Source organism: Homo sapiens, chromosome 3 (genome assembly GCF_000001405.40).
Source record: "Homo sapiens chromosome 3, GRCh38.p14 Primary Assembly".
NCBI lineage: Eukaryota > Metazoa > Chordata > Mammalia > Primates > Hominidae > Homo > Homo sapiens.
The window spans coordinates 152,325,184-152,352,792 of NC_000003.12; the positions used below are offsets into that span (position 1 = coordinate 152,325,184).

Consider the following 27,609-nt stretch of genomic DNA (forward strand, 5'->3'; position numbering starts at 1 on the left):
TTTCCATGTTTATATATGGCTCATACATTCCCTCCTCTAGAAAGCTTCTCCTCACTCTAGACCTGGCCACATAACTGTTTTGCCTCTTTGCTTATGTAGTTTGGAGTATGAATCATAATAATTATGTATCTTACTCCATCTCTGCATTTGATTCCACAGCCTACGACTTACACCTTTGTGTTCTTAACCTCTTAGTAAGAAATGCCTGACACGTAGTAGACTGACTAGAAGTGTACATTGAATGTTTGCTGGTTAAAGGAATGGAACATGGACTTCACTCATAGAGACCTTACTATTTGGTTGAAGAGATAATGCATACACATGTGACATGAAGGTAAACACAAAATATATTGAAGATATCTGTATTTTATTTTTTTTAGTTTATAGTTAATTTTTACATACTATATATTTTTGTAGTAGGTAAGTCAATTATTTTCATGCTACAGATATGGACATTTATGTATTTATGTACAAATACATTGATTTAGGTTATCTAGGCCAGATTGTAAGTAGCAAAGCCCTGTTTGTAAACCAGGTTTTGTGACTTCAGGTTAGAAATATTAAAAAAAAAAAAAAATCCTTAATTGCTCTTCCAGATATGAACTCATTCTTTTTTTTTTTCCCCTGTGATTTCTGTCTTTTTTGTTTGTTAAGTTTAAAAAATTTATGGCAATTTTTAAATGTACATAATATTAGAGAAACAATATAACAACCCCCTCCATATATCTATCAGTCAGCATTTTGTATGCATGTATCCGTATGTGCATCAGCCAACATTTTGCCCTTTTTGTTACCTTTCACACTCCTTTTACCCCTGTAGCATGTTAAAAGAAGTCTCAGACATCCTATCATGTCACTTATACTTCTTCAGTAGTATCTCTGACAGTTAAGAACTTATTTTAAATATAACTCCATTTCCAAATCTATGAAAATTGACGACAATTTTATTGTATCATTTGATAGCCACTTTATGTTCAACTTTTCCTGATTGTCACAGCAATGTCCTTTTTTAATAGGTACGTTTTTCCAGTTAGCATCTATGGTGTCATTTAGCTTGTTCTTCCATCATCCTTATTTTCTGTAAACTGAAAATTAGAGTCGAGTTTAACTTTAATGTTATTTATTATTATTTGGGGGGAACATTTCCTGGAAGGTTCTGTATACTTTCTATTTCATCATATCAAGAGGACATAATTTTAGTAATCCCTGCTTTTAATGATGCTGCAATCTATCAGTGAATCAGATTGGCCTGGGCCAATCCTTATAAAGTTCTCCATCAGACTTGGATCCAATGATTTCACCTCATTGTTGATCATTTTGTAGCCATGATATTTTTTAGAGTTTGCAAAAATGGTGACTTTTAATTATATAATTTCTGCTGCGTTTATTATCAAGAATTTTTTTCATAAAGATCTTTTCATAGTAACTAATGGTCAACTTCAAAACATAGTTTATATCAGAAAAAGGGAAAAAATGCATGATATTTATCAATTTTCAGAATCAGATATTCTCTTCTAACATAAGATCTAAATAAGCTTACACATATAATCAAGGATGCCAGTAAATTTTTCTAAAAAATTTTTCCCTTGGGAAAATTATTTATTTATTTATTTATTTATTTATTTATTTATTTATTGAGACAGAGTTTCACTATTGTCTCCCAGGCTGGAGTGCAGTGGTGCAATCTTGGCTCACTGCAACGTCTGCCTCCTGGGTTCAAGTGATTCTCCTGGCTTAGCCTCCCGAGTAGCTGGAATTACAGGCATGCACCACCATGCCCAGCTAATTTTTTTGTGTGTATTTTTAGTAGAGATGGGGTTTCATCATATTGACCAGGCTGGTCTTGAACTCCTGACCTCAAATGATCTGCCTGCCTTGGCCTCCCGAAGTGCTGGGATTACAGGCGTGAGCCACTGCGCTCGGCTGATAAATTATTTGAATTGCTTCTCCTAATTTTTTTTGATTAATATGTTTTGATAACATTGTTCCTATGGTAATATTATCAAAAAAGTTTTCTTTCCTTCCTTTTTGTTTATCATTAATGTGCCTCTGTATGGTTGAATTTATTTACTCAGAAGATATTTATTGGGCATCTGTCTTTTTTTATCAAGCTCTGTGCTAGTCCCTGAGGATGTAGATATGAGCCCTGCTTTTTTCTTTTCTTTCTTTCTTTTTTTTTATTTGAGACAGACTCTCACTCTGTCACTCAGGCTGAGTGCAGTGGCATGATCTTGGCTCACTGCAACCGCCGCCTCCTAGGTTTAAGTGATTCTCCTGCCTCAGCCTCCTAAGTAGGTGAGATAACAGGCATGGGCCACCATACCCAGCTAATTTTTGTATTTTTGGTAGAGATGGGGTTTCACCCATGTTGGCCAGGCTGGTCTCAAACTCCTGGCCTCAAGTGATCTGTCTGCCTTGGCCTCCCAAAGTGCTGGGATTATAGGCTTAAGCCACTGTGACCGGCTGCTTTTTTCCTAGAATATATAGTTTGGGTTTCTTTTCCACTCGTGATGTGATTTAAAAAATTGAACCTGTTGTATATGAATGTGGTTTTGTAAACTATAATATTTGGTATCATATACTATATTTTTTTCTATATATATATATGCTACTATATAGTCATATAGTAGCATTTTTTTTTATAGCTTTCTTTGGAGTTCTTGGTCTTAGTGTCTAAAATAGTGGCCATAAAGGAATTTGGAAGTTAAGTTGTTCTTGCTGACCCAAAGAAAAATCAGATGTTTCTGTTTAGGACACTGTATGTGACAAACAAGGAAGTTTTTATTAATTTATTTTTTTGAAGAAGAATTGATGAGAGAATAATGAGAATTCCTCCAAGATTAAAAGTAAATTATAAGATCCTGTGCTATTTTAATGTAAGCCAACATTTGAATTTAATTTGACTTCTATTTTCAGTAAATTAGAGTGAAATTTTAGGGATGTCTTTATCTCCTATAGTGTGTGTTTTGCCAAGATTTATTAAGGGTAATTTTGGATTTTAGAAAATGTACAGTTTCTAAAGGCTTGTGAACGTTTTATATTGATAGAAAATGTAAGTAAGACTAGTAACACATTATTTTCTCCAAAGGATCCTGTGACTGACACAAAAAATATGATATAATATTGAATCTGCCAAAAGATGCACTGTTAATCTAGGGTTATGTTATGTTGTTATTTTATTAGGTATGTGATACTATGGTGTGAATTTTAGAATATAGGTAATTATTTAAGTAATTACTGTAATTCTAAACATCTTCTGAGATGTTTTCTCTAAAGCAGAAACTCAGCTTTTACTCATGTTTAGATAATGTGATATAGCTGTTCTAGATATTTGAGATTAGGGTTGAGGCAAATTGTTGACATATAATTAAAATGTATTTTATAACTAAAATTTAGAAGAATGGAAAAAGTTTACATTGTATTTATAAGACTTTGCTAACATGCTTTATGACATTACGGAGAAGTACTAGGAAGAAGGAGATCTTTAAAAGGAGTGATATTCTGTTTGCTTTGCTGGAGTACCTTATCAGGAAATTTGAAATCTTAGCCCTTTAATTGTGATATCTGTTAATTCTAAAACTTACACTGAATTTAACTTTGAAGGTCAACATATGGATTTTTTTAAAAACAATATTTACTCTATCAAAAGATTAGTTGTATTTTTGACTTGAGGAAATAGCTTAATCTGAACAGCACGAAACTTGACAAAAAAGTTTGCTAATACATAAATATTGGCTATTTTAATCTGTTGAAAACGGAAGGCTAGTACCAAGGGAGACGGTAGTAAAATTATAGAAGGAGCTAGTGAAAAGTAAACATTATGCAACATGAAAAGAATACTAGGGGAAAAACTGACAGAGTAGAATAACAGGAAGATTAGTCACTTCTGGAAGGAAAAAAGTAGGTAGGGGCAGGGGGATGAAGTACTTTAAACAGGAATGTGGAACTGGAAGTGCTAGGGCTAAAAGACAGATGTGAGCTTATTTGGGAGCTAAACTGGGCTTTGAAAAAGGAATAATACTGGTAGCATTTAATATCAAAATTTAAATTTTATGTTAACAATAAGAAAAAAATGGAGAAAAATTTTTGTTAGGGATTATAAAATGCCTGTTAAAATAAAAAGACTTATATTTACTCCTTTGTGGAGCTGAATTGGTTTCGGTCAGACAGCAATGTCAAATGCAAATCAAGAAAATACATTTCTGAGGCCAAGGCAGGAGATTTCTTGACCCCAGAAATTTGCAACAACCCCAAGGAACATAGTGAGACTCTGTCTCTACCAAAAAGAAAAGAAAAGGAAAAGAAAAGAAAAAAAATTAGCCAGGCATGGTGGTGAGCACCTGTAGTCACAGCTACTCAGGAGGCTGAGGTGGGAGGATTGCATGAGCTTGGGAAGTCAAGGATGCAGTGAGCCATGATCAGCCATTGCACTCCAGCCTGGGCAATGAAACAAGACCCTGTCTCAAGAAATATACATATATATTTTATCTTATATATATATATCTTATATATTATATATATATATAATATATATGTCATATATAATATATAATATATATAAGAAATATATATATAATTTCTTTCAAAACCGGTCAAAGTTCTTTTACTTTCAAGTGATGGATAAAATAAAACCATTGTGGATATCATGGGATATATGTGCTATTGGTTTGAAATAATTTTCACTTTTGCATTTATTTATCTGTCAAAGGAGTACCAATCTCTAAATATTTTAAGGATTATTTCTATGAATTCTCTAAAAAATATAAATTGTAACTGTCTATATCATACAAAAATATTTAGCAATCCTTATAACAGAAAACAAGATAGTAAACATTGTGTGTATGTTCATGTGTGTGTATGTGTGTTTATTGGTAGTCTCATTAATCCCTAGTCTCTACTGACGTTATTAGGGACATTAGTGGAACAGATTTTGCTGAACACATTTTCAGCCACTCTGAGTGTTCTTAGGTATTTTATTTATTTAGAGACTGAATCTGTGTTGTCCTGCCTGGTCTCAAACTTCTGGGTTCAAGCGATCCTTCTGCCTTACTTTCCCAAGTATCTGGGACTACAGATGCACACCACTGCCCAGCTAAAATGTACTTTAAATAAAGTAGATAATTCTGGGGTTATCTCAAACTCCTGGCTTCAAGTGATCCTCCTGTCTCAGCCTCCCAAAGTCCTGGGATTACTGGCTTGAGCCACTATGCTTGCCACCTCTGGGGTTATATTAGCATGACACCAGGACAAAAATCTGCCCATTTTTATATCAGGAAAAAAAATGCTACTTTCATTTAGGTGCAGAAAATGGCTTATGCCTATTGAAATAAAAAATTCAGTCTAATTTAGACACCTAAGATTATTATTTGCTATAACGACATGGAATACATCACTGTGTGTCACTGAATTCATGGAAATGCAGTACAGAATGCAATACAGTAATCCCCCCTTATCTGCAATTTCACTTTCTGCAGTTTCAGTTACCCATGGTACAACACGATAAGATATTTTGAGACAGAGAAACCAAGAGAGAGACCATATTCACATAACTTTTATTACAGTATAATTGTTCTGTTTTATTATAGTTATTGTTGTTAATCACTTACTGTGCCTAATTTATAAATTAAACTTTATTGTAGGTATGTATAGGAAAAATAATAGTATATTTAGGGGTTGTTACTGTCCATGGTTTCAGGCATCCTCTGGGGGTCTTGGAATGTATTCCCCATAGATAAGGATTATCTACTATATACAGTCAGGTAAGCCATTCCCATTGATTTTATTACAAATTGCAGTGCTTCCATGGCTTGCTTACACATAATTTGCTGAGGTAACTTTTGCAGAAAGTAACCATTTTACGTGAACACCAAATACTGATTAAAAAAATCTCTTTTTCTCCTTTTCCCTCTCTTTCTCTCCCTTCTCCCTCTCTCCTTCCCTGTCTTACTCCCTCGTTCCTGCTCTTCTTCTCTTTTCATACTCACACAGACACTCCTTCCCCTACACACACACACATACACACATACACACACACACCCTGCCCCTGGGCATAACTGAATAGGAAATGTTTATTTTCCAAACTACAGAAAAAAACCTTATCTCAAACACTGAAAGTCCTTCCTTTTCCTGGTTTGGAAACACTAAGTCATACTGAGTCACTTGTAGATTTTCTTTAGCCAGTTTTATTTAAAGCATAAAGTTGTGAGGACAAAATGACTCAGGAATTTGTAATGTACCATTAGAGCTTTTCACTTTTAGGATGCTAGTTCATATTCAGATGACTTAGTATTAAAGATTGATGGGTTGTTTACTTTCTAGAAGAATCTGAGGAGCTCACTGTAACTTCACTTATTTTGACCTAAGTATGGCCTAGAGTTTATGCTTATTAATTCATTTATTTCTCGGTAAAGCCATGTCCAAGGAATTAAATAAAAGGAAGCGGACCCAGTAAGGGTTGATGAATAAGAAGCTGTTACCTTACTCATTTACATGTATTACTTCAAATGTTATTGATTGATTGATTGATTGATTGAGATGGAGTTTTTGCTCTGTTGCCCAGACTGGAGTGCAGTGGCATGATCTCAGCAACCTCTGCCTCCTGAGTTCAAGCGATTCTTCAGTCTCAGCCTCCCAAGTAGCTGGGATTACAGCCTCCCCACTACCACACCCAGCTAATTTTTGTATTTTTAGTAGAGACAGGGTTTCATTATGTTGGCCAGGCTGGTCTTGAACTCTTGACCTCAAGTGATCCACCCGCCTCAGCCTCCCAAAGTGCTGGGATTACAGGTGTGAGCCACCGCTCCCGGCCTTGATACCTCTTTAAAAATGAAGTTTGTTAAAATGATCAGAAACTTTAATGCAGCTGATTGCATTGCCATTGACATCAGTGAGAAATAAAAACTATAGCTATAATGGTTAAGTTGAGCAGTTGGAATCTGTATGTCTGTATCTATCTATGTTTATTTAGATGACTGGATAAAAGAGTCATGATTCCTCCTAGTCTATCACGTGGTAATGCCAAGGTCAGAAAAATCATTTGTTATGATCTATCTTATGTAAAAGCCTGTGGAGTTACTTTGTTTTCCTCACTCATAAGATGTCAAAATGTGCTTTCTAGAATTTTTGAATAATTTTTGCTTAAATTCAGTGTTAAAGTTGGAGACTGAAACAAATTTAAATCTGTTGTTAGCCAAAGAGTAAATCAAGCTTATGTGGGTGCAATATATAACATGACTACCCAAGAAATTCTGCAAAAAAATGTAGTTGTCTAGCAATTAGGTACAGAGTTGTCATCTTCCTTCTATGATAACTTTTGATTATAAAAATAATTGAAGGTAAATAAACTGTAAATGACACACCACCTCAAGCTATGCCACATGGGCACCTAAATAAGTTCTTTTTAGTAAATGCCACCAAATGGCTGTATTTCTTACAGCTTATGGCTAAATTCTGACAGAGGGGAGGTGCCTTCACCATAAGAGTATTTTCTCTTTGAAGTTTTCATGGTTTTGTGTGTGTGTGTGTGTGTGTGTGTGTGTGTGTGTGTGTGTGTGTGTGCGCGCGCGCATGCGCACACACTAGTTTATATTAGGTTAGAGTTTAAAAAAAGCTGAAGATAGCCAAAATTAGTCCAGAGAGTTAGACTTGCTGCCAAACTAAAGAAATAGCTTGGTTTCAGTATTCTTCTGGCTTCTCAGTCTTAACATTTGGGGACCTGAGTGCTTGATTTGAGCTGACTGAAATTAACCCAGATGGCCCACTTTGGGTCCTCAAGAGCTAATTAAAGGAAGTCATTTCAGTTGCTGAATAATCAAGGCCGTACCTTCCTCCAATGTTGGTTTCAGCCCACACCTTACAGATGATCGCTGGCTTTCTGAAGCTCTCTCTAAACTCATAATTATTGTTTGGACCCTGCATGTAACTAAATTAATTTGCCAAGGATGGGAATGAAATGTAAGTTTTATTGGCAACAATGGTAATCCCCCAAAACAGAATGACAGATACAGTGATGGTAATAATGTTACTGCCCTGTTAATGCCTCCGAAGATAAGATACACTTGAAAAATAATGTGAAAACTGAATTTGTCCTTGATTTGAAAAATCTGAGAATCACATAAAATGTTTGTTAATTTCTTAAGCTGGTAAATATCATTAAGAGAAATGGACACATATAAGATAAGTTTGTGTGCATATTTGTACACAGTTAGGTTTTTGGAAAAAGACAGGGATATCAGATGCTCCTGCCACCAGGGTTCTGGCCAAACACGACATTTCCTACTCTTGTTTTTGAAGAGTTCTAACACTTCATCAGTTTTCAAGTGTCAGTAGAGAGTGGGCATAAAACCACAATTTCAGGAGCTGCATTCTCTGGGTCCAGATTTCATCTTTGCTACTTATTAGTTGTATAACTTTTGGCAACTTAACATTATATGCCTCAGATTTATCAGATATACCCTATTAAATGGCAATGTGTCTACCTTGTTAGGTTATTGTGACTCTTAAATAAGTTAATACATGTAAAGAACTTGTGGAATTTCAGGGCACACAATGTTACCTTACCATTGATATTATTTGCTGTTATTAAATCTTAATTTTATGTAAACATTTTAAAATGTCTGTCTCGTTAACAATAAATGTGCAATATACAAATAAATGAAAATCAAAATTAGTGGTGGAGTTTTAATGAAATAATTTAGAGCTCCAGCTCTGGAACTGTATAATCTTCATTCAAATCACTGTGACCTTGAAGAAGTTATGTAACCTAACTAAGCCTCAGTTTCCTTGTTTCCAAAATGGGAGCAGTACTAATATCTAATCCTTAGAGGAGTTGTGAAAATTAAATGGGATAACACGTATAAAGCACAGAGAACAGTGCTTGGCACTTAATGAGTCTACAGTGTGTGTTAGCTATTGTTTTATTAATTCTGTCATGATGAAGTGAACACTGTGATGCAATACTTTTATACTTAGAATCTGCCTATATAGGGTTTTCAGTTTTGCTAATGAGGAGTGTTATTCTCTGCTGTGTAAAGAACACATGCTTTGGTGTTTATAATTTTTCTCTAATAGGTAAATGATTAGGAAAAGAATAACCTGTTATTTTACTTATCCTTTGTTGAGATATTTAAATTATACAAAAAAACTGTAGATGGCTTTTTATATCTATAGGATTTTAGCTCTGGATAAATCAGTTAGGTAAATGCATTATTAATGTTGGAACCTGCTTAACTCTGTTGTCCAGCCACATTGTAGCCACTGGTTAAGTCGAACGCCACTAGAAAGAAAAGCAAATAATCAAAAACATCAAAATGGAAATGAAATATGGAGCAAGGAAGTCATTACTTCTGTAAAATAAAGGTCTGAGACCTAATATTTTCCCATTGGTTGGAAGTATTGATTATGAAAACATTAGAATTTTCAGTAAAATTGTTTCTGTGCCAAGATGGCAGATAGAATATTATGAAAGAAATGACCAAAATTGCATATGACATTTATTTTATATGGTAACATTCTTTCTTTCATTAACAGGAAATTTTAGGGCAATTATTTGCTTATTGGGAATGAGAAGGATGAATGAAAATTTAAAAAGGATTCATCAAGTCTTCCTTATAATAAAGTAAACTTTTAAGAGCATGTTTTTCCATAGAATTAGAAACTTAGAATTTCATAGTAACAGTGTATTCATCACCTCGTTTGGGGAGCAGATTTTCAGTATGATCACAGGAAAACACCTGTTTTGACACTCTGAAAAAGGTGCAGACGTACGGGCAAACTCTCTGTAGGTGTAAATAAGAATGCTTTGGCTAGCATCCTGCAAGGAGATGGGTCTAAATGGTCTGCTCCAGCTTCTGCTGCTGCTGCTGCTGCTAATATTGCTGGGAAGGAAAAGTGGCTGACCTGGCATATCCATTACTCTTGGTGCTGCAGCAGTCACTCAGGAAATGTTGTTTAAGGGGAACCTTCTGGATCCTTTTCATGGCACCATGGCAAGAAGAAGCTGTATCTTATCTATGGAAGATAAAGCATGGAGTTGGCTAATGGATGCTGGTGAGTGAATAAGGCAATTGGGGAGCCAGTTTGCTAAGATACCATTTGGGTAGGCCTGCTCGCTCAAGGCCTGAGATGACATCCATGGGAAATGGCTTTTGGTATTCTGTACATTAGAAACTGTTTTAGAGAGGAACCGTGGTTTTCACATTGGTGATCTGATCTGTGATTCTGTATATGTTCCATAAAGTTCTCATTTATTCTCTGCTTCACTACTTGAAATACTAATATTGAAGTTTGTTCAGTACTTCAGTAGATGGAGCATAGTTTTCCATGTAACTTCTTAGTCACTAATCTCTACTCTTGTTTTTGACTTGCCCTACAGTGATTTTTAAAAATAACTCTGTGGTATATGAAAGCAGTTGTTCCTCCTTTCAATTCTAATTGAGCACCTTTTTTTTTTCACAACAGTAGATTATAGGATTTTAAATTATCTTCCCTTTTATGATTTACATCAGACACAAACATGTCAATAGTTTACTTTTGTCCAATTAAAAATTGGAAGAAATAAGAATTTTAAGTTAATCATAGAGATGTAGGTCAAATTTTCTTAGAATTATTATTCTGTGGTTAATAGGTATCCCATAAAAACGGTAAGAGCTATGTTTGGGAACTTACAGTGGCATAGTAAAGGTTCTGCCAAGTCATGGGGGAACAGACTTGTTTAACTTCAACTTTTAACAGATTCATTTGACCAACCCCCTCTCCTCAACTCTTCTTTTTTCATGAAGAGTGCCTTTCCACATGTGGCACTACCGGACAGTAAGTGTTTATTGAGCACCTACTATGTTGCTAGGCAAACTAGGTGCTGGAAATATAACTGTGAGCACATTCATCAAAAATTTTTCCCCTTGCGATGCTTAACAACAGTTATGAAAACCTTTGTTTAGATGATCTGATCTTATGTAAGATACTTTAATAACAACATAATTTTTATTCAAAAATGTAATCTGAAGAGCTTCATAAGTGAATAAACCTACAATTTCTGATTGACAATGTTTATTTACTTCTCTTCCACTTTTTTGGGGGTTTGTTTCATTTTTGTTGTTTAGATTGTTAAAAACTGGTTTTCACCAATGGGATTAAGAGCATAGGTGCAGAATACAAACTGCAATTGATTTTTAATTTTTTATTTAAAGTCAAATTATTACCTTTAAAAAAAGGTCAGCCTCCATTTGGATTCTGCCATAGAGGCTTACACAATCTTTCTGCATTCAAACCTATCACATTGACATGATTATATTTTTAAAAAATTAAGTTTAGTTTAAGTCAAAATCTAACCTTAGGCACTGTCTCTAAGATGAAAAAGTATTTTTAAAGGAAAATTTAGATTCCTCATTCTCTTATAAAATCCCAGTTCCCTCAAATTTAAAATACTAACTGCTTAGGCAGTACTTAACATGTCATAAGGTGGGAGTTACTTCATTTTATAACAATGTCTAACTCTTAGTGACTTATCAGACAGAAGTAAACCTTGCACAAGCTATTTGATAGCTTTTATTTCCTGTGTCACTTAGAATATATATTTTGCAGGTGAGGGGAGAAATCAATTTTCCCAACACAGGATAGTTTGAACCATTTGTCTCAAAGTAAAATAGACTACTGTTACTATTTTAGTTACCTTAGAACTAAATACCTTGGAATAGAAGAAATTAGATATCCGAAGTCAAGAATTACACACACATAACTGCTTTTAGGCAATAGCTTTTCTTCTTTACTAATTTCAAGTATAAAGTCCATGGTTAATTTGCTTCGAGTCTTGAAAAATTGAGAGTTCCTAAATGATTTTGACCATTTTCATTTTCATTTCATACATATTAGGAATTATTAAAGTCCTGTCAGAGTTTATACTGAACCTCTGACTTGATTTTATCCAGCTCATCAAAGCAAAATTGTCTTAGTAGCACTCTTTTGTAGCTGTTTAATATTTAATATTCAGTGGGCTCCTTAAGGTGAGTTCTTGAAGGCTTGTGAGTAGTTGAAGAGCTGTGAATGGTGGTTAACAAGCTATTATCATCTCCTTGAAAAGCATAACATGAAGCAGAGATTCAGGAAAATCTTAGACAGTGATTAGTCTATCTGACAGTGCATCAAAACTAAATTAGTTGGCCAAGCACGGTGGCTCACGCCTGTAATGCCAGTACTTTGAGAGGCCAAGGCAGGTGGGTCATTTGAGGTCAGGAGTTCGAGAACAGCCTGGCCAGCATGGTGAAGGCCTGTCTACTAAAAATACAAAAATTAGCTGGGTGTGGTTGTGCACGCCTGTAGTCCCAGCTACTTGGGAGGCTGAGCCAGGATAATTGCTCAAACCCGGGAGGTGGAGGTTGCAGTGAGCCAAGATTGCGCCACTACAATCCAGCCTTCCAGCCTGGGCAACAGAGTGAGATTCCATCTCAAAAAAAAAAAAAAAGGAAAAGAAACACCAACTAACTAAATTAGTTATATTTTCTGTCCTTCCTCTTCTTTATCCTTTTTCTTTTTCCATCTTTTGTTCTTCTCATCTCTGCACTGCTTATCTACTTGCTTCTTCTTTGTATTCTTCTCTTATCTCATTGAATTTCTTCCGTCTGCCTCATCTGATCATAACAGAAAGTGATAAGTTTGATAAAATGTATATTGTACTTACTAAAAACAATTTTAATTATTTATCAATTTAAAAATCAGTTGTTTAACCTTCTCTCTGTCTTTCCGTTTTCTCATCTAATTCCCAATAATGTTGCCTTTTAATTTCTGCTGCCTTGCGGATCAGCACCCTGGGATTTTTTTTTTGTATTTGTAAATTAAATATTGCGATGACAAGATATAATAATTTTATGTCACTTATTAGATTTTTAACCATAAATGCCGTAGGCATGCTATAATATGTATTCCTTACTTTTCTTTCTAGAACTAAATCTCCATACCCACTTCATCCGTGTTTTTGGCTTATGTATGGGATGCTAGAATGGCCTATCTCCATGTATTTTGTTGCATTTCTCCATTGCTTCTTGTGTTCTGGCGGGAATCTTGGTGATTCTTTTCAAGCACTACCTGAGCTCTGTGCCAATTGTTCCTCTTCTCCCAGGGTGTTGTGCTGCGTGGTCATGTCTCCACTTCCTTAGCCCTGTCCATTGACAGAACCTTGGGTTCTGTGATGGCTGCCTCTAAACCCTTGTGAAAGCGGGGAATATTCCTCCCCCTGCTGCTACAGTTGAGCACCGTGCTGGGTACCATGTTGCCCTCTACACTTGCTTTCAGTTGTTAAGGCTTCCCAAGCTTTGGCTGTGGCTCAGTGATCCTGCTGTCAAAACCCTGAAACTTTCCTAGCCTGGACACTCAGTGGTAGCAGCAGGTGTTGGGATTTCTCCAAGCCCCTAAGACTCTGGGAGGAAGAGAATGGCTGTTTGACATAGACCTCAGGAGTTTTCAAAGCACCAAGAAACCTCTCCAGAAGATATGTAAAGGTAAGATTCTGATTTCTCTAGGAAGCCGTTCTAGAAGCTAAAAACAAAACCCTGTAGCTATGGATTTAATATAAGTTAGTAGTTAAAGAATGTCCTTGGGAAACTCTGTGTTTGATCAAACCAAAATATGAGTCTTAGGGAACTATTTATTAAAAACTCTTATAGGAATTTTGTGTGAGATTCACATTAGTTTTATTTATATTAAATTTGGCATGGAACAGATTTTTAAATATTCAATTTTTTTTATTCGGACTCTGTGAAGCACTTTTTCACAATCTGCATTGTATATCTAGTAAGAGAAATCTTGTTGAGAATTAAAATGGTTAAAGATAAAATAGAAATTATTTTTTCAAATACCGATGTTTTATTTGCCTCTGTGTTAATATTTAAAACCAAAAACATTTAATGAATATATCTTCAAATTCTTCAAGCTGAAATTCTTAAATCCATAATTAATTCAAAAGGAATTAGAAGAGCAGTTCAAATCTTAGTTGGTAGTGCTAGGGATGCATTACTGTCCTTTGTCAAAAGTTACTGCTTAGTATTCTAACTATGGTGATTTCTTGCTTTATTTTTAGATTTTAAAGGGAAAAAAATTAAAATAAAAAAACTTTTTGGGAAAAAAATTCACTACATATGGATATAAATAACCTGAATGGAGGATACTTGTGGAGAGGTGGTAAGGGTGTGTGTGTGTATGATGGGTAGGGGAGAGAGATCAGCAGCATCTTAAGTTAACAATACAAAACACCTCTTCAGTGTTATGAGTTTGTGACAGCTGTTATTCAGTGCCCCCTTCCTTTTCTTTTTTTTCCCCCGCCTCTATTTTCAGGCAGTAATCTGTGAAGTGATATTAAGACACCTCTTCTAATATGAGATCATTGTTGGCCTTACTGTCAGTTTAGGTCTTCTTTTTTTCGCCCATTTGTTTTCTTTTCAATATTAACTTAATTCCTTAAATGGTTTCCCCTTGTTGAAATTAACGCTATTAGCTTACTACCACATTGGAGCCCTTTAATTTCAATGGCCAAAAATGCAACTTAATTTTTAAAAATGAAGGAAAATGTTTACTCATAGCTGAACAAAATGAAAAATATTGATCTTTGACAGTGTTTATTAAGGATGCTTTTTATTTTTAGTAAACTTTATTTTTATTGATATTTCATTTAACATAATTTCAGAGTAGCTCTGTGCTGTAAGATGAGCAAAAGAACAGATACCCTAAATCTCAAAGAGCTTTTTCTTTCGTGTTTTTCTTCTGAGTAGGGCATGAGGTTTCAGATTCCCCAGTGTTGACATCTATTATTTTCTACCTTGAGATTTTACCTATAGACACAGAAAGAGGAGATAAAAAGGCCAGGCATGGTTGCTCATCCCTGTAATCTCAGCAATTTGGGACGTCAAGACCAGAGGATTGCCTGAGGCTGTAAGACCAGCCTGGGCAATATAGCAAGACATTGTCTCTTCAAAGATAAAGAAACGAACAACAACAACAGTAAAAAACTGGGCATGGTAGCAGGCACCTGTAGTCCTAGTTACTCAGGAGACTGAGGCAGAAGTATTGCTTGAGCCCAGGAGGTCGAGGCTGCAGGCATCACTGCACCCCAGCCTGGGCAATAGAGTGAGACCTTGTCTCAAAAAGAAAAAGGGGAGATAATATCAACATGCAAAAACTGAACAATAGTAATCTCTTGTGGTGTATACTTGCCACCTCTGTAAGATTGTAATGACAATGACTGAGTTTTTTCCTGCCAAGTTCAGTTCCATTTTTTTTTTAAGTAAAATATCAGACTATGTGAATTTATAGACTTATTTCTCAGAGTATATTAAAAATAGTGGAAGTTGGGAGATTTTTAATTCTTCATGAGTCCAAGCTGAGACATAGCTACAACTGACAGGATCTGTTCACCATACATACTTCCAAGTTTGGAAACTATCAGCAGGCACCTGCAACTAAACCCACAAGCGTAAATGTTCCAGAGTGTTAGAATCTTATTCGCATAATACCTAGCAAGATCCCAGATGTAAACGGGAGAACTCAAATGTTCCTTTGGATTCCGTGATGGCTGAGAAGCATCCAGGCCTGCTAACTCACTGAAGAAGAATCCAGCAGAAGGGGACTGGACAGAACCTACTTTTGCATAACCACTGATCCCACCTAAAGCAGCCAGTGCTGCATAGACAAAGCCAAGCCAGTATAAAGGCACCTGTGGGCCAGGGTCCATCTGCATTGTTCTCTTCTAATTCTCTCCAGACAGGAGACTGCAGCAGGCCTGCACCTATACCACTTTCCTGAAGGTCTGGGTAAATTGATGAGGGGACACAAACTGTACGATGCTTATTTTTTAAAATGAAAAGATGTTTAACAAAGCATTTTATTCATATATGAAAACATTCAAGTTTATTCCCTCTAGACTTCAAAGTATAACTAAATGAAATGTTTTGAAGTGCATTAAAATGGGTAATTCTTTCATATATAAAAACAGAAAAGTGAAATTTTCATGCTTTTATTAACACTTATAGTGAGTTTATAATTTTTTAAAATGTGTGGCACAGTCTCAAGCTAGTGGTTAGCATTATTTGCAAGTTTGTCTATAGAGTGCATTTTGTCTTTTCTATTTCTAGAACTCTTAAATTCCCTTGGGACAAGAAATGAAACAAATATAAGAATGTAAATTATGAATTCTCTTTCTTGGAAGTTTAATTTTAAAAAATAGTTTAAGTACTTTTAGAGTGGGAATTTAGAACACTTAATTCACAAACAGTATGAAGTACTTAATCACTGAAAGTATTAGAAGTGAGTGTTAATTCTCAAAATAAGGTCTCAATCGCAGTCATAATTTCTATAAGAATTTCTGCCATCACTCTGTTCATAAGACTAGTACTGCTCAATTCCCATTGTTTCCTCTCTCCCTTCTGTTCTGTTCTGTTTTTGGAGAGCATGGGAGCTGTCCATACCGGTAGGCAATGAGGAGAATGTTTATAATTGAGATTGAGTAATGTCAAATATAAGCCTTTTATGATACGATTATTTCCTTTGTTGTAATAAATTTCTCAGCCTCATTAGGCATATCCATGTAGAAAATAAATTTAAAAATAAAGTGTGTACAGAGCAGCTAAAAGAGGTGGCAAATATAGGGATGAGCCCAGATAGTGACATTTTTGGTACTTTAAGGGACTGTTTCACTTCAAAAACAAAATATTCCTGTTTATTATTTTTAGGTGGAAATAAAAGCTCACTGAATCAGAATTATTCAAAATTAAAATGGTGTCTTTAGTTAATGGTAGTAATGTATGGATTACCTTTTACCTTCAGTCCCATTACAATGATTATTTTATTTATTTTTCACAAAAACACCTTGAGGTGTAGTTAGCATTATTTCACCTATACAAGTGAGGAAACTGATACCAAGAGAAACTTGGCCTCACAGCTGGACACAGGATTCAAACTCAGGAAGTGTGGCTCCAGAGTCCATCCATCCTTAGAGGTCCTTGTTAGTTGTAAATCTGGCAGTGAGTGCCAGTTCTCAAATCAGTCCTAACCCTTTTCATAGCCTGGTACCAGCAAGGGGATTCTGTCTGCACCTCCTTCCAACTCAATTTTGGGTTGCCATTCACTTGCTGGCTATTTGACCTATCCTCTCTCAGCAATAATCCCACCCTGTCTAAAATATGAATAATATTGTCTCCTTCTCAGGGTTTTTATGAAGATTTAATTTTACGAGACAGAGTATGCCAAGCACTTAGCACAATGGCTAGCATATAGAAAATAGCCAATAAATTATTGATGTTATTATGTAATGTTTCCAGGGTCACACAACTAGAAAAAGATTGAGTCAGAATTCAGGCCCAACTCTGTCTTACTGGGAAACTAAACAAAACACACACACACACACACACACACACACACACACTTTCCACAAACAACAGGACCTACAAAGCAAAACTCGTGCTCTTTCTGGATTATAACACTACCTCTCAACTCTAACCATAACTTTTAGATGAGTAAATAAGGATGTCATGTATGTGCTGAAGGGATAAGTAGCATAGTTTAGTGGCTTAGGGCAAACTTTCAAATTGAGGTTTCCATTGTGTGACAGCAGGCAAGTTAACCCCTCTGAGGTTCGTTAACTACACATATTAAACTAAAAACAGTATCAGTTGTATTGCATTATCATGGATAATAAATTTTAATACAATTAAAGAGCTCCAATAAATGTTGGCTTTTAGTAATTGATATAGATATAAATGTTTCTTTAAAAATATATTCACAAAATTGGGATGCATAGTTAGTGAAATCATAAACATGTAAAGTCTTAGAGATGGATATAATCTTAGTAGATGATCTTCCATTTTTGAACAGTCTGTATGCTTTCTCTGTCAAATCCATTTAACCTCTCTGAAAGGTCAGTGGAGAAAGGGGAAGAAGGCATCAGAGATCAGGACTGACCCAAATATGGGGTGGTTGTACCTCCAGAGATGTGGGCAAATTTTCTCAGTCTTGGCTTGATGTCAGTGACTAGCATTGGAAAACCAGATGGTGGAAATAACCCCTGTTAAGCAGATGATGGGATTATCAATCTTGTGTTCTTTCTCTTTTGAAGCAGAACCCAAACCAACGGTTGGGACTCCAGTCCTGAAGAGAGAGAGAGTTACCTGGACTGAGTTGAATGCCAGAGTTTAACCTTGAATGCTAGTCACAGCAGGGACTTCTTGAATTCTTGGAGCTCAAGTGTCTGGCCTGCCTTACTAGATTCTGAACACCTTGAGGTTGAGGATGTGTATCATAATATTTATTTGCAACTTTAGAACAGTGTCTGGGAAATAGTGGGCACCCAATGCATGTTTGATAATTAAATAAGAGCATAAGATCCAGAAACGGTACAGAAGATCTTGTTTAAGGATCCCAAGCCATCAAAGGGGTTAGAAATCGAGGCTGCAGTGCAGAAAGCATAGGATGTCCTGGGGATGGGGGTGGGTGCCATGGAGCTGAGGGTGCATAACATTTGTAATGACGGGTTTAGGAACTCAGTAAACTGAAACTGTCAGTGTAGCCTATTCAATAAATGTAGGAATAAAGTATTCCAAATTGTTTAAAAAATGTTGTAAGCAGATGACATATTTAAAGAATTGAAAGCCATTGGAATCCATTTATATTAGTTTTTCATACAGTGAAAAATAATATTTCTGGCACTAGAAACTCAATTTGGTACCAGAGACTTGAGGAAAAATGTATTTATAAATGTGTCATTGATATATTCCCTTATAAATAAGTTATTAAATAGGGTTTTATGTTTATAATATTATAAAATTGTAATTTGTATGTATGAACGTTAAGAACTTACATGGATGATGGGGGAAGTAAGAGTGGAAGTGTAAAAGATGACCTTTTTTTGGGGGGTGACTGGTATAACTTTGAGGTTTGTTTTTTAACTATAATTTTACTACTTGTTTGATATATGTTTCCCAGAAATATGGTGAAAACATCTTTCAGTCAGAATCTAAGTTAAAAAACATAAAACATAGTAAAAAGAACAAAGAGAATTAACTATGTTTGGTCTATTGAGACAACAAAAGAAAACACAAAGCACAAACTCATACTTTTTTTCGGACTATAACACTACCTCTCAGCCCTAACTGTGCCTTCTCTGATAAATCAGGATGCCGTGTGTACTAATGGGAGATGTAGCAAAGTTTAGTGGTTGCCACAAAGGTGATTTTAGGTAGTCCTAACAGGTATTGCAGTGATTTGGCGTGGTATATCAAAAGCCAGAGACACTGGTACCTTGTATTAAAACCCTGGATATTGTGTGCTGGCACCTGAAGGAAGGTTGTTTAGAAAACTTAAACTGAGAGTAAAACTCAAACCAAGTGTTTCCGTGAACATTTGTGTCTTCTTAATTTGAAAAAGGCCATGTATTAAACCAGTGCTCCTGTCAGTGTGGAACTTTCTGGTTTCTCAAGAAGAGTCTCTTAAATTAAGCACTAAGTTAATATTACACATTTAAACATTTTCGCTTTCGAAAACATACATTGTTGTGAAAGTAAAATATTAAATGTAGAGAGAAATTATCACTTACACGTGTACCTTATTTTGTAGACTATAGAGTCCATTTGTGCTATTATTATTTTCAGATGTGCCTGTAAAGTGGCTTCTTTTGCTGTTCTTTTCTTCCTGCTCTCTCTGTATACACAAATGTCCATACAGATGGAAAGGCACACAAAGACACACAGACACCCATGCTTTTGCTTTTACTGTAAAAGAGTCATACTAGAGTAGAAATTACGTGACATTAATTCTCTGTAATTCTCTATTTCTTTCCTTTCATGGCTATGTATGCCTGAATTGTATGTAGGTCTAGCATACCATTTGGGCATGAAAACGTTGTTTTACTTCACTTACCCTGGGAGACTTTTTTTTTTCCTAAATTCCTAATGCCTGTTTTTAATTTATTTTGGCAATTCACTGTGGGAGTTTTAATTAGGTAGTATGTTTGGGTTACTATTGAAGCAGTATGTATTAACTACCAAAAGTTAAACTCATCGTAAAACCCTTTACACATGAAATAACTTAGATACCTTGAGTACCAGCTTTTCTTTTCCCTGCCCTTATCCTGGATGTGTCCTTGGCAGTTTAATCTGCTTTATTTTACTCCTTTAAAAGCGTAAGATGGAATGGCTCAAATAAAATCAGTGGGATCTCTCCCTGAGGAGAATTTTGTCATCAGAAATAAAAGTGACAACACCAAGAGGGGAAGTGTTATAAATAAAGTGAGTAGTGTTTGGTAATCATCACCATTCTTGATTTCCTATGTGGAAATAGGACTTTGATATATGCATTTTTTAAAGCATCTTGCAATTTAAAAAATTACACATGGAACAAGCCAAATAAATATTTTTAAAATACTGTTTTTATTTAGAGAGAGAGACAGCTGTATAAACTGCTCTGTGTATGTGTAAAACATTGATAATACATTAGACATAATTTGCAGAAACTACTAATTTTCACATCATTTCCAAGTAGAACTGCAAAGGTACAGTACTGGTTTAGCTTTATGGTTAAAAGCATTGGCTCTAGAGCCAGATAACACAGGCTCAAACCCTAGTTCTGCCGTTTACTGGTTGTGTTACCTTGGGTAGGTTACTTGACCTTTTTGAGCTTCAGATTTCTAATCTTTATTTAATGAGTTTTAATAATAGAATAATAGGATTGCTTTGAGGATCAAATAAGTTAATAAACCACTTAGAACAGTGTTCAATAGGCTGGATTTTTGTTTGTTTGTTTGTTTGTTGCTATTCTTTTTGTGTTATGTTTTGTATCCAGCAGAAGTGGTTATTTAGCTTCCTATTTTATGAGGTAGGACTGATGGGAATTGACAGTCTTAGGAAAAAGTACAACTGTAAGTCAGTGGAAGTTTTTCCTAGTCAAGATGTCAAATGCCAGAGGTCGGATTCATGTGGCAGGATGGGGTCCAAACTGTACAAAAGCTTGGAGATGAATGAGGTGAGACAGCTAAGCTTAAGACAAAAAACAATGTGAAGTTATGTCCTTGGGCAGTGTTTGCAGTAGTATAGTGCCGCTTTGGAAAACTTAGAAGATGATCCTCAACTGTGTCCACTCAAAATAGATTGTGCATCTCAATGTCATAGAGTCAGAAATTTCTACCACTATCTGTTTAAATCATCGTTTATTTATATTCCTTAAATATTCATACCTTTCACATAAGTGAGATACATTATTTTTAAAAACGCAGTTTTCCTTCTTGATTTTTTCATATTGTCCCATTATTCTGAGAAGAGTTTATTTTATGAGAATTAAGTTATTATCTTACAGAATAAATCTGATTACTGACTAGATACAAGATAACCACATATTTTTCCTAGAATAATTTAATTCCAATTTTACTTATTTGTACCTTATATGACTTATTTTCAGGTTAGAAAAATGTGGTCCTACAGTTTTGTTTTGAAGTTTGCCTGGGCCATGTGAAGCCACCATTATCATTTACGTCAAAAATGAAGGTTATCTGTTGCCCAAGAGAAAAATACAGCATTCTCAATTTAAAACACTAAAATAGTGAGGGTTTCATAAGCTGTTTCAGTGATTTCTGACCTTGGGTTGGAAAGCTCTCATGTCTCAGTTACCTCAGTGGGTATAGTGACATTGTCCCAGTCTGCATTACCAAATTGTTTCAAATCACTTTAATTAAAAAAAAAAAAAAAAACCAGTCATGGTGACTCACGCTTGTAATTCCAGCACTTTGGGAGGCTGCAGTGGGAGGATCGCTTGAGTCCAGAAGGTGGAGACAAGCCTGGGCAACATAGTAAGACCCTGTCTCTACAAAAATTTTTTTAAAAATAAGAATAAATTATCTATATTGTAATTTCAAAGTTTAGGATTGAGAGATTGAGCTCATGCTTTTTAGTGTAATTATAATTTTGGAGCTATGCTGACATATTTGTAAACAAACGCTTAGTGAAAACTCATATAACAATAGAACAGCCAACTATACTGTATTAAGATTGCTACATGAGAAGAGTTCCCTTTAAAAAGGAAATTTCAACTCAGAGGAAAGTTTGATTTGTGTTCATTAGAGAACCAAAAATATTTAAAAATATTTTCCATGAGTTGAAAAGTAACATGAAAAAAATGGATTATTTTAAAAGCATTAATTGACACTTTAAAAAAATATATTTTTATAGAACCTCAAATTGAGTTAAAATTATACTTTTAGTCACTTTTAGGTTATAGTTTTCATATCAAATGTATTTTAAATTTAGGTTTTATGTCTTTTAAGTCTTCAAATAGGCCATTTTCTGCCTATTGCTCAAATATGTCGACCTTTATAGCATCAGGTCAGTTTACACTGAAAGCTTTCAATGTGTTTGGCATTTTTAATGGAAGTCAGGAGCTTTACAACAAAGAACACAGAAAATCATGTAAGAAGACAGTGTGAAAAAGCACTGGACTTGGAGTCAGTTATTTGGCTTCCTATGACAGGTCCCCATTTGATCACCATGTTACTCTGTGCGTGTCATGTTTTCTCGGAAGTATACCTGCCGCCATCTTGACTCCTTGGTTGAACAAATCTAATAAAGATAATGCACAGCACAGTACTTTTTGTAAACTGATACTCATCTCTGTGAAATAATTCATTTATCTGAAAAGCAATATAAATGCATGTTTAAAAATATACTGTGAAAGTCAATATTTTTATGAATTCTGCTCATGAATCCCACAACTGTATGTTGTTCTCATGAACAGTAAAATTGAAAATGTAATTATTGTTTTTATAAGGATAATTGGTAGTATAAATTTTAATCTATTTAGAATAACAGGTGGGTGAAAAGAATACAGACTTTTCCTCCAGGATGAGTCATAGATTTTAAAAATTAAGATGATATTTACCATTTAGTCTACAGTTTTGAGAATGATAGTTCTATTGCTTGAAAGAGTTAGATACCTTCCAAAAGAGAAAAGGAATGTAATGGGAGGAGAGATAGGCAACAGAAAACAAGCATCTGTCCCTTATGGAGAAAAATGTATTTTTAACAGATACTAGAGAATATAGAAGTTGCTATATCAACAAAAAATTTTTATTTGCTCAAACAGGTGGATAAGCCAATGTGTATTTACTGAATAAATGAGTATGTGCTAGTGGAAATCAATGAGTGAGTGAATAAGTGAACAAGTAAATGGATAAACTCAGTAGGTAACACATTATTCTTCCTGTTTATTATTTTTAGGAAACAATACTTATTTGAAAGTATTACAAAGAATTCACTTAAAGAACCCTGGTGAAATTCCTCATTTTCTCTTGTGGTAATAGGCAGTTGTTATAGTACAGTCATAATCTTTTGGTTGTAATTTATTATGTAGGTTGAATTACTCTACATTTACAGAGCTTTTGGGAATCAGGAGATGAGAAAACACAAATAATAAGCAAAAGGGCAGTTAGTACTATCCTAAAAATAAACATTGGCCCATGTAATCACATCCTAAATAAAATAAACTGAAGTGGGTTAAGAAAATTATAGCGGTTTAGAAGAATTTAGTGTGTTTTCTAGCCCCATTTTCATTTGATTTTGATAGTAATGATTATTAAAGGAAGACAGAGTACTTTGTACTTTTAACATTTAGCCGGCAGCAGCAATTGCAGCAATATCCAAAGTGTATTGAATGTCTTTGGTGTAGAAAAAGGCACTGGACTTGATATGATCATAGAAGGTTTTTAAGTGCTTGAGAAAAAGGTTGGGGAAGCAGGTGAAATATGAGATTAGGGCTTGTTGGAAGTCTTAGGACATTACAGAGAGCATAATAAGTCTTACTACCTCCTGGGAACAGAATGCATGGTTACAAAAATAAACTGAGGTGGAATTTGAAGAGAAGGGAAGAACTTTGGCTGACAGGGAAGCAAGATCAGGTTAGCAAAAATTCTGGCTATCAAGACCTCTCCTGGGGCCCATTCCCTAAGAATGTATCCCTTGTGCTAAATAGAGTATGTATGTACAGGCACACTGTACATGTTTGAAATACTTGAATAACAGTTCTTCAGGGATTACTGTGTAATTATTTGTATCTATTGCCTTTATCTTAGTGCTGATTTATGGGGCTAGATTTTGACTTAAGTTACCTACAATGTCTTGTTTCATAGTTTGAGAAAGTACATAAACAATATTGAAAAAACTAAACATCAGTGGTGTTATTTAGTGAATAGAACAGTTGGAAACATATCTTATTTTTAAAAGAATAGCTGAATGTGACATATCCATGGCATGTTAAAAAATGAAAAAAAATGGAAACTGACTTTGAACAGATTATTGAAATGCTAGTGTATAATTTTTCTGAGTTGCACTATAAAAAATTTTTACTCTTGCAACTAGAGGAAATCACTCAACTGGAAGTGCTGGATATAATTTCTGACTTATCCATTAGTCATCCTAATAATAAGAAAGTATTTAGTTCCTTTTTTTCATAGCGGTCCATCTTAAACAATAAAATTACATAGCCCACTCAAAGATATTTCAGGAAAATTGAGGTGTTGCTTTCAAAAAAGTATTAAAAAGTGGGCACAGTAAATTGTCTGTGTGTGTGTGTGTATGTGTGTATTTTAATGCTACTGTTTTTATCATTCATTTCTCATCATGTAGATAGGAAGGTTAGCAGAAAATTACCTTGAGATTTATAGTTGGGATGACTAGGCCTGGAGCATTGCCCTTTGCTAAGATAAGAAATATAGGTGTTAAAATTGATGTTTTCTCTTTCTTTTTAGGGAGAACATGTAATTGGTTTGGGAGGGTTGAATTTAAGGAAAAACATCTGAAACCCTCTTACACAGACTGATAGTGCTGTGATAGGAAGAAAATACCCAGAGAGAATGTACAGTAAGAAGAAGGAATCTAAAGACAAACCTTGGCGCATCTCTCTATAACCAGCAGTCAGAAAGGAGGGAAATCAAAAGAAAGTGTCAGAGAATGAGTAGGTTAATACATAGCAGGTAAATGAGGATGGTGCTTTGCCAAGGCAAAAGAGAAAAACATTCAGAAAGTAACTAGTTATTCTATAGAGAAGACAAGAAATGAGAAAAAAATCACTTTGGCTGTTAAAAGGACAGTAGTAATCTTTGAAAGCAGATGAGTAGAATTGGGAGAGAGGAGGTAGAATTCAGATTGTAAACCAGATTCCAAGAAGATGAGTCACTAGTAAATTGGGAGGTAATGCATGAGGCCTCAACACATGTAGACAACTCTATAAAGAAATTCAATAATAATAAGAGAAGTGGGAGTCAGCTGAAGGATTCAGCACAGAAGAGGTTGTTGTAGAGCAGTGAGGGTTATTCCACTGCAGAATAGTGGAAGCATGTCTTTTTCACTAAGGGAAGGGGCAGCCGTCAGTGGAGAGTGAAAGAATGAATGACAAATCGCTAAAATAGGGAAATATCAGAGAAGATGAGAAGGGATTAAGAAAAAGTGAGTTAGAGAGATTGGCCTTGAATGGAAGATTAACCAAAAACTTCCTGAGAGACAGAAATGAAGGTGCTTAGCCAGATTCCATTCCCTAATACTACCTGCATTTTGGTCATCCTTGTCATTTGGGTGGTTCCATGCCTTGGGTCCACACTCCTTTCTTTACTCTTTTTAAAAATATTTTATTTTAACTTTGACTTATAGACCCATCTCGATAGAATTTCATGAGGGCAGAGGACATGTTTTATCCATGCATGTGTTCTAATGTGTTTCGGTAACCCCCGAAGTCAGTGCTCTTAGGGGAAGAAGTTTCATAGCCCTGCCTATCGATCATAGTACAAGGCTGATGACTAATTAGCTACCTAGGTGAACCTCAAAAGCTGTTTCCAAAACAAGTCCTCAATTTCTAATGAATGGGGCAGATTATTATGTATCAGACTTTTTTTTTTCCTGTTTTTGGTTAATAAAGTTACTGCATAACAAAACATAACTTAGAGTTCAGAAGTGGATATATCCAAAGCCAGATAGAAGTTGTAACTATAATTCATTGTAATAAGTAGAAACATTTAACTGAAAAAAATGAAAAGACAAAAATTTGCAAGGCAAATAGTTGTTAAATGCCATGGTTTATACCACTATGTCAAACAAATGAGATTTCATTATGTCATTATATTTTGTCTGATCCATACCATAAGCACAAATCCCTTGATTAGAATAGTTGGATTGCATTTTCTGATTCTTACATAGCAAAAATAACTCTAAGCAAAAGTTAACTAAATGTTGTCTGCCTCTCATGTAGAAAACATGTTTTATGTTAGTGTTTGTTTTATGGTTGCTATTTTTTCTGTAAGTTATTAGTTTTCGAGTTTTATTAAAGGTGTAATTTCACAGTTGGAGTATATTTGTCAAATCCTGACCCTTTTTACTTGTACATATATGGTACAACAATTTTTTAAACACCTTTTTATGTGTAAACACTTATAGGAGGGGTTTTAAGGTAGTGGGCTTGAAGTCAGACTGCTAGTGTGTTGAATTCTGGCCTCAGGAATCACTAGCTATGCAATCAGATACAAGTTACTATAAGCTGTAGTTGTGTCATCTGTAACACTGGGTTACTTAAAATTCTTTGCTGAAGTGACTTTTAAGATATTTAAATGAAGTGAAACACAAAAAGCATGCAAACAGGGTCTAGCACATGATAAAGCCTTATTAAATGTTAGCTACTATTATTATATTTTCAGATTATATTTTGGAGATTCAAAAGTACTTAGTAAATGTCCAGCATTGCTCTAAGCATATACTTGGTCTCTACTAATCCACTTTATTTATTTTTTTCACAAATGATCGATAATCTATTTTTCAAAGTACAGTTAGACATAGAAACATTATGAACTGTCTACCATTTTTATGGCTTTAGACTCAACATTATATTTGAAGTGAAAAATTGTAGCTATTTTAATTCCTAAATTATGTAAAGCTATAAAATGTGTTATGTTAGCCAGTTGATTTTATTCCTCCTGAAAATACTTTGTTTTATTTCTCTTCAGAAGGAAAAATAGAAAGATAAGACAGTAAATTTAGGATGAGCAAAATATGGCCGATGACAGCTTTCATGTATTCATTTTTTCATGTTTTAAAAATTATTACTATCACTAATCACTTAAAACACTGGTTGATTATGACTGTTGTACAGTTGCACAGACATCTTGTTTTCTTCTAGAGAGTCCCAGGAAAGCATGAGAACATCATTTAACTACACTAGAATTGTAAATTAAAACAATTTTATCCTGGCTCACGTCTCTAGGGCTGCCTTGAACCACTCTTTAGTGTAGACTCTCCTGTCCAACCTCCCTGGAGTTTTTAAAACACATCGCCCTGTCTCACATTTCTGTCTTCACACAATTTTCTTTTCATAAAAATTTTCCCACCCTGGTTTTTTTTTGCTGTTGTTGTTTTTTTTTGGTTGTTGTTGTTTTTAAACTTACGACTCATCCTTTTAGACTCAATACCGGAGACAGCTCCTCTGGGGAGTCTCCCTTGATCCCCTCCATTTCCTAAGCTGTGGGAAATGTCTCCGTTAGTAACCCACATCAGTTCCTGTTGCAGTCATTTACTGACCTGAGTCCTCTGGGATGCAGCAGAGACACATCAT

At 35.0% G+C, this 27,609-nt stretch overlaps 1 protein-coding gene and 1 pseudogene across 131 annotated transcripts in view; one reads left to right on the forward strand and one right to left on the reverse strand.

Annotated features, from left to right (window-relative positions):
* Positions 1-27,609, forward strand: part of MBNL1 (muscleblind like splicing regulator 1) — a 222,149-nt gene that overhangs the window by 81,552 nt on the left and 112,988 nt on the right. For 10 of the 130 annotated variants that reach the window (NM_001387797.1, NM_001314057.2, NM_001387791.1 and 7 more), the window contains one exon: positions 9,928-10,047. The exons of 110 other annotated variants lie outside the window; for them this stretch is intronic. In NM_001387797.1, coding sequence (NP_001374726.1) covers positions 10,042-10,047 — 6 coding nt within the window. In that variant the 5' untranslated portion in view covers positions 9,928-10,041. Of the gene's footprint in view, positions 1-195; positions 335-9,927; positions 10,048-12,934; positions 13,491-27,609 lie in introns of all 130 variants that reach the window. 10 more of the 130 variants (NM_001387811.1, NM_001387806.1, NM_001387815.1 and 7 more) reach the window with 6 other exon arrangements.
* On the reverse strand, positions 14,515-15,807 carry TMEM14EP (transmembrane protein 14E, pseudogene; annotated as a pseudogene). The gene has a single exon (NR_132656.1). The product of NR_132656.1 is annotated as a transmembrane protein 14E, pseudogene (transcript).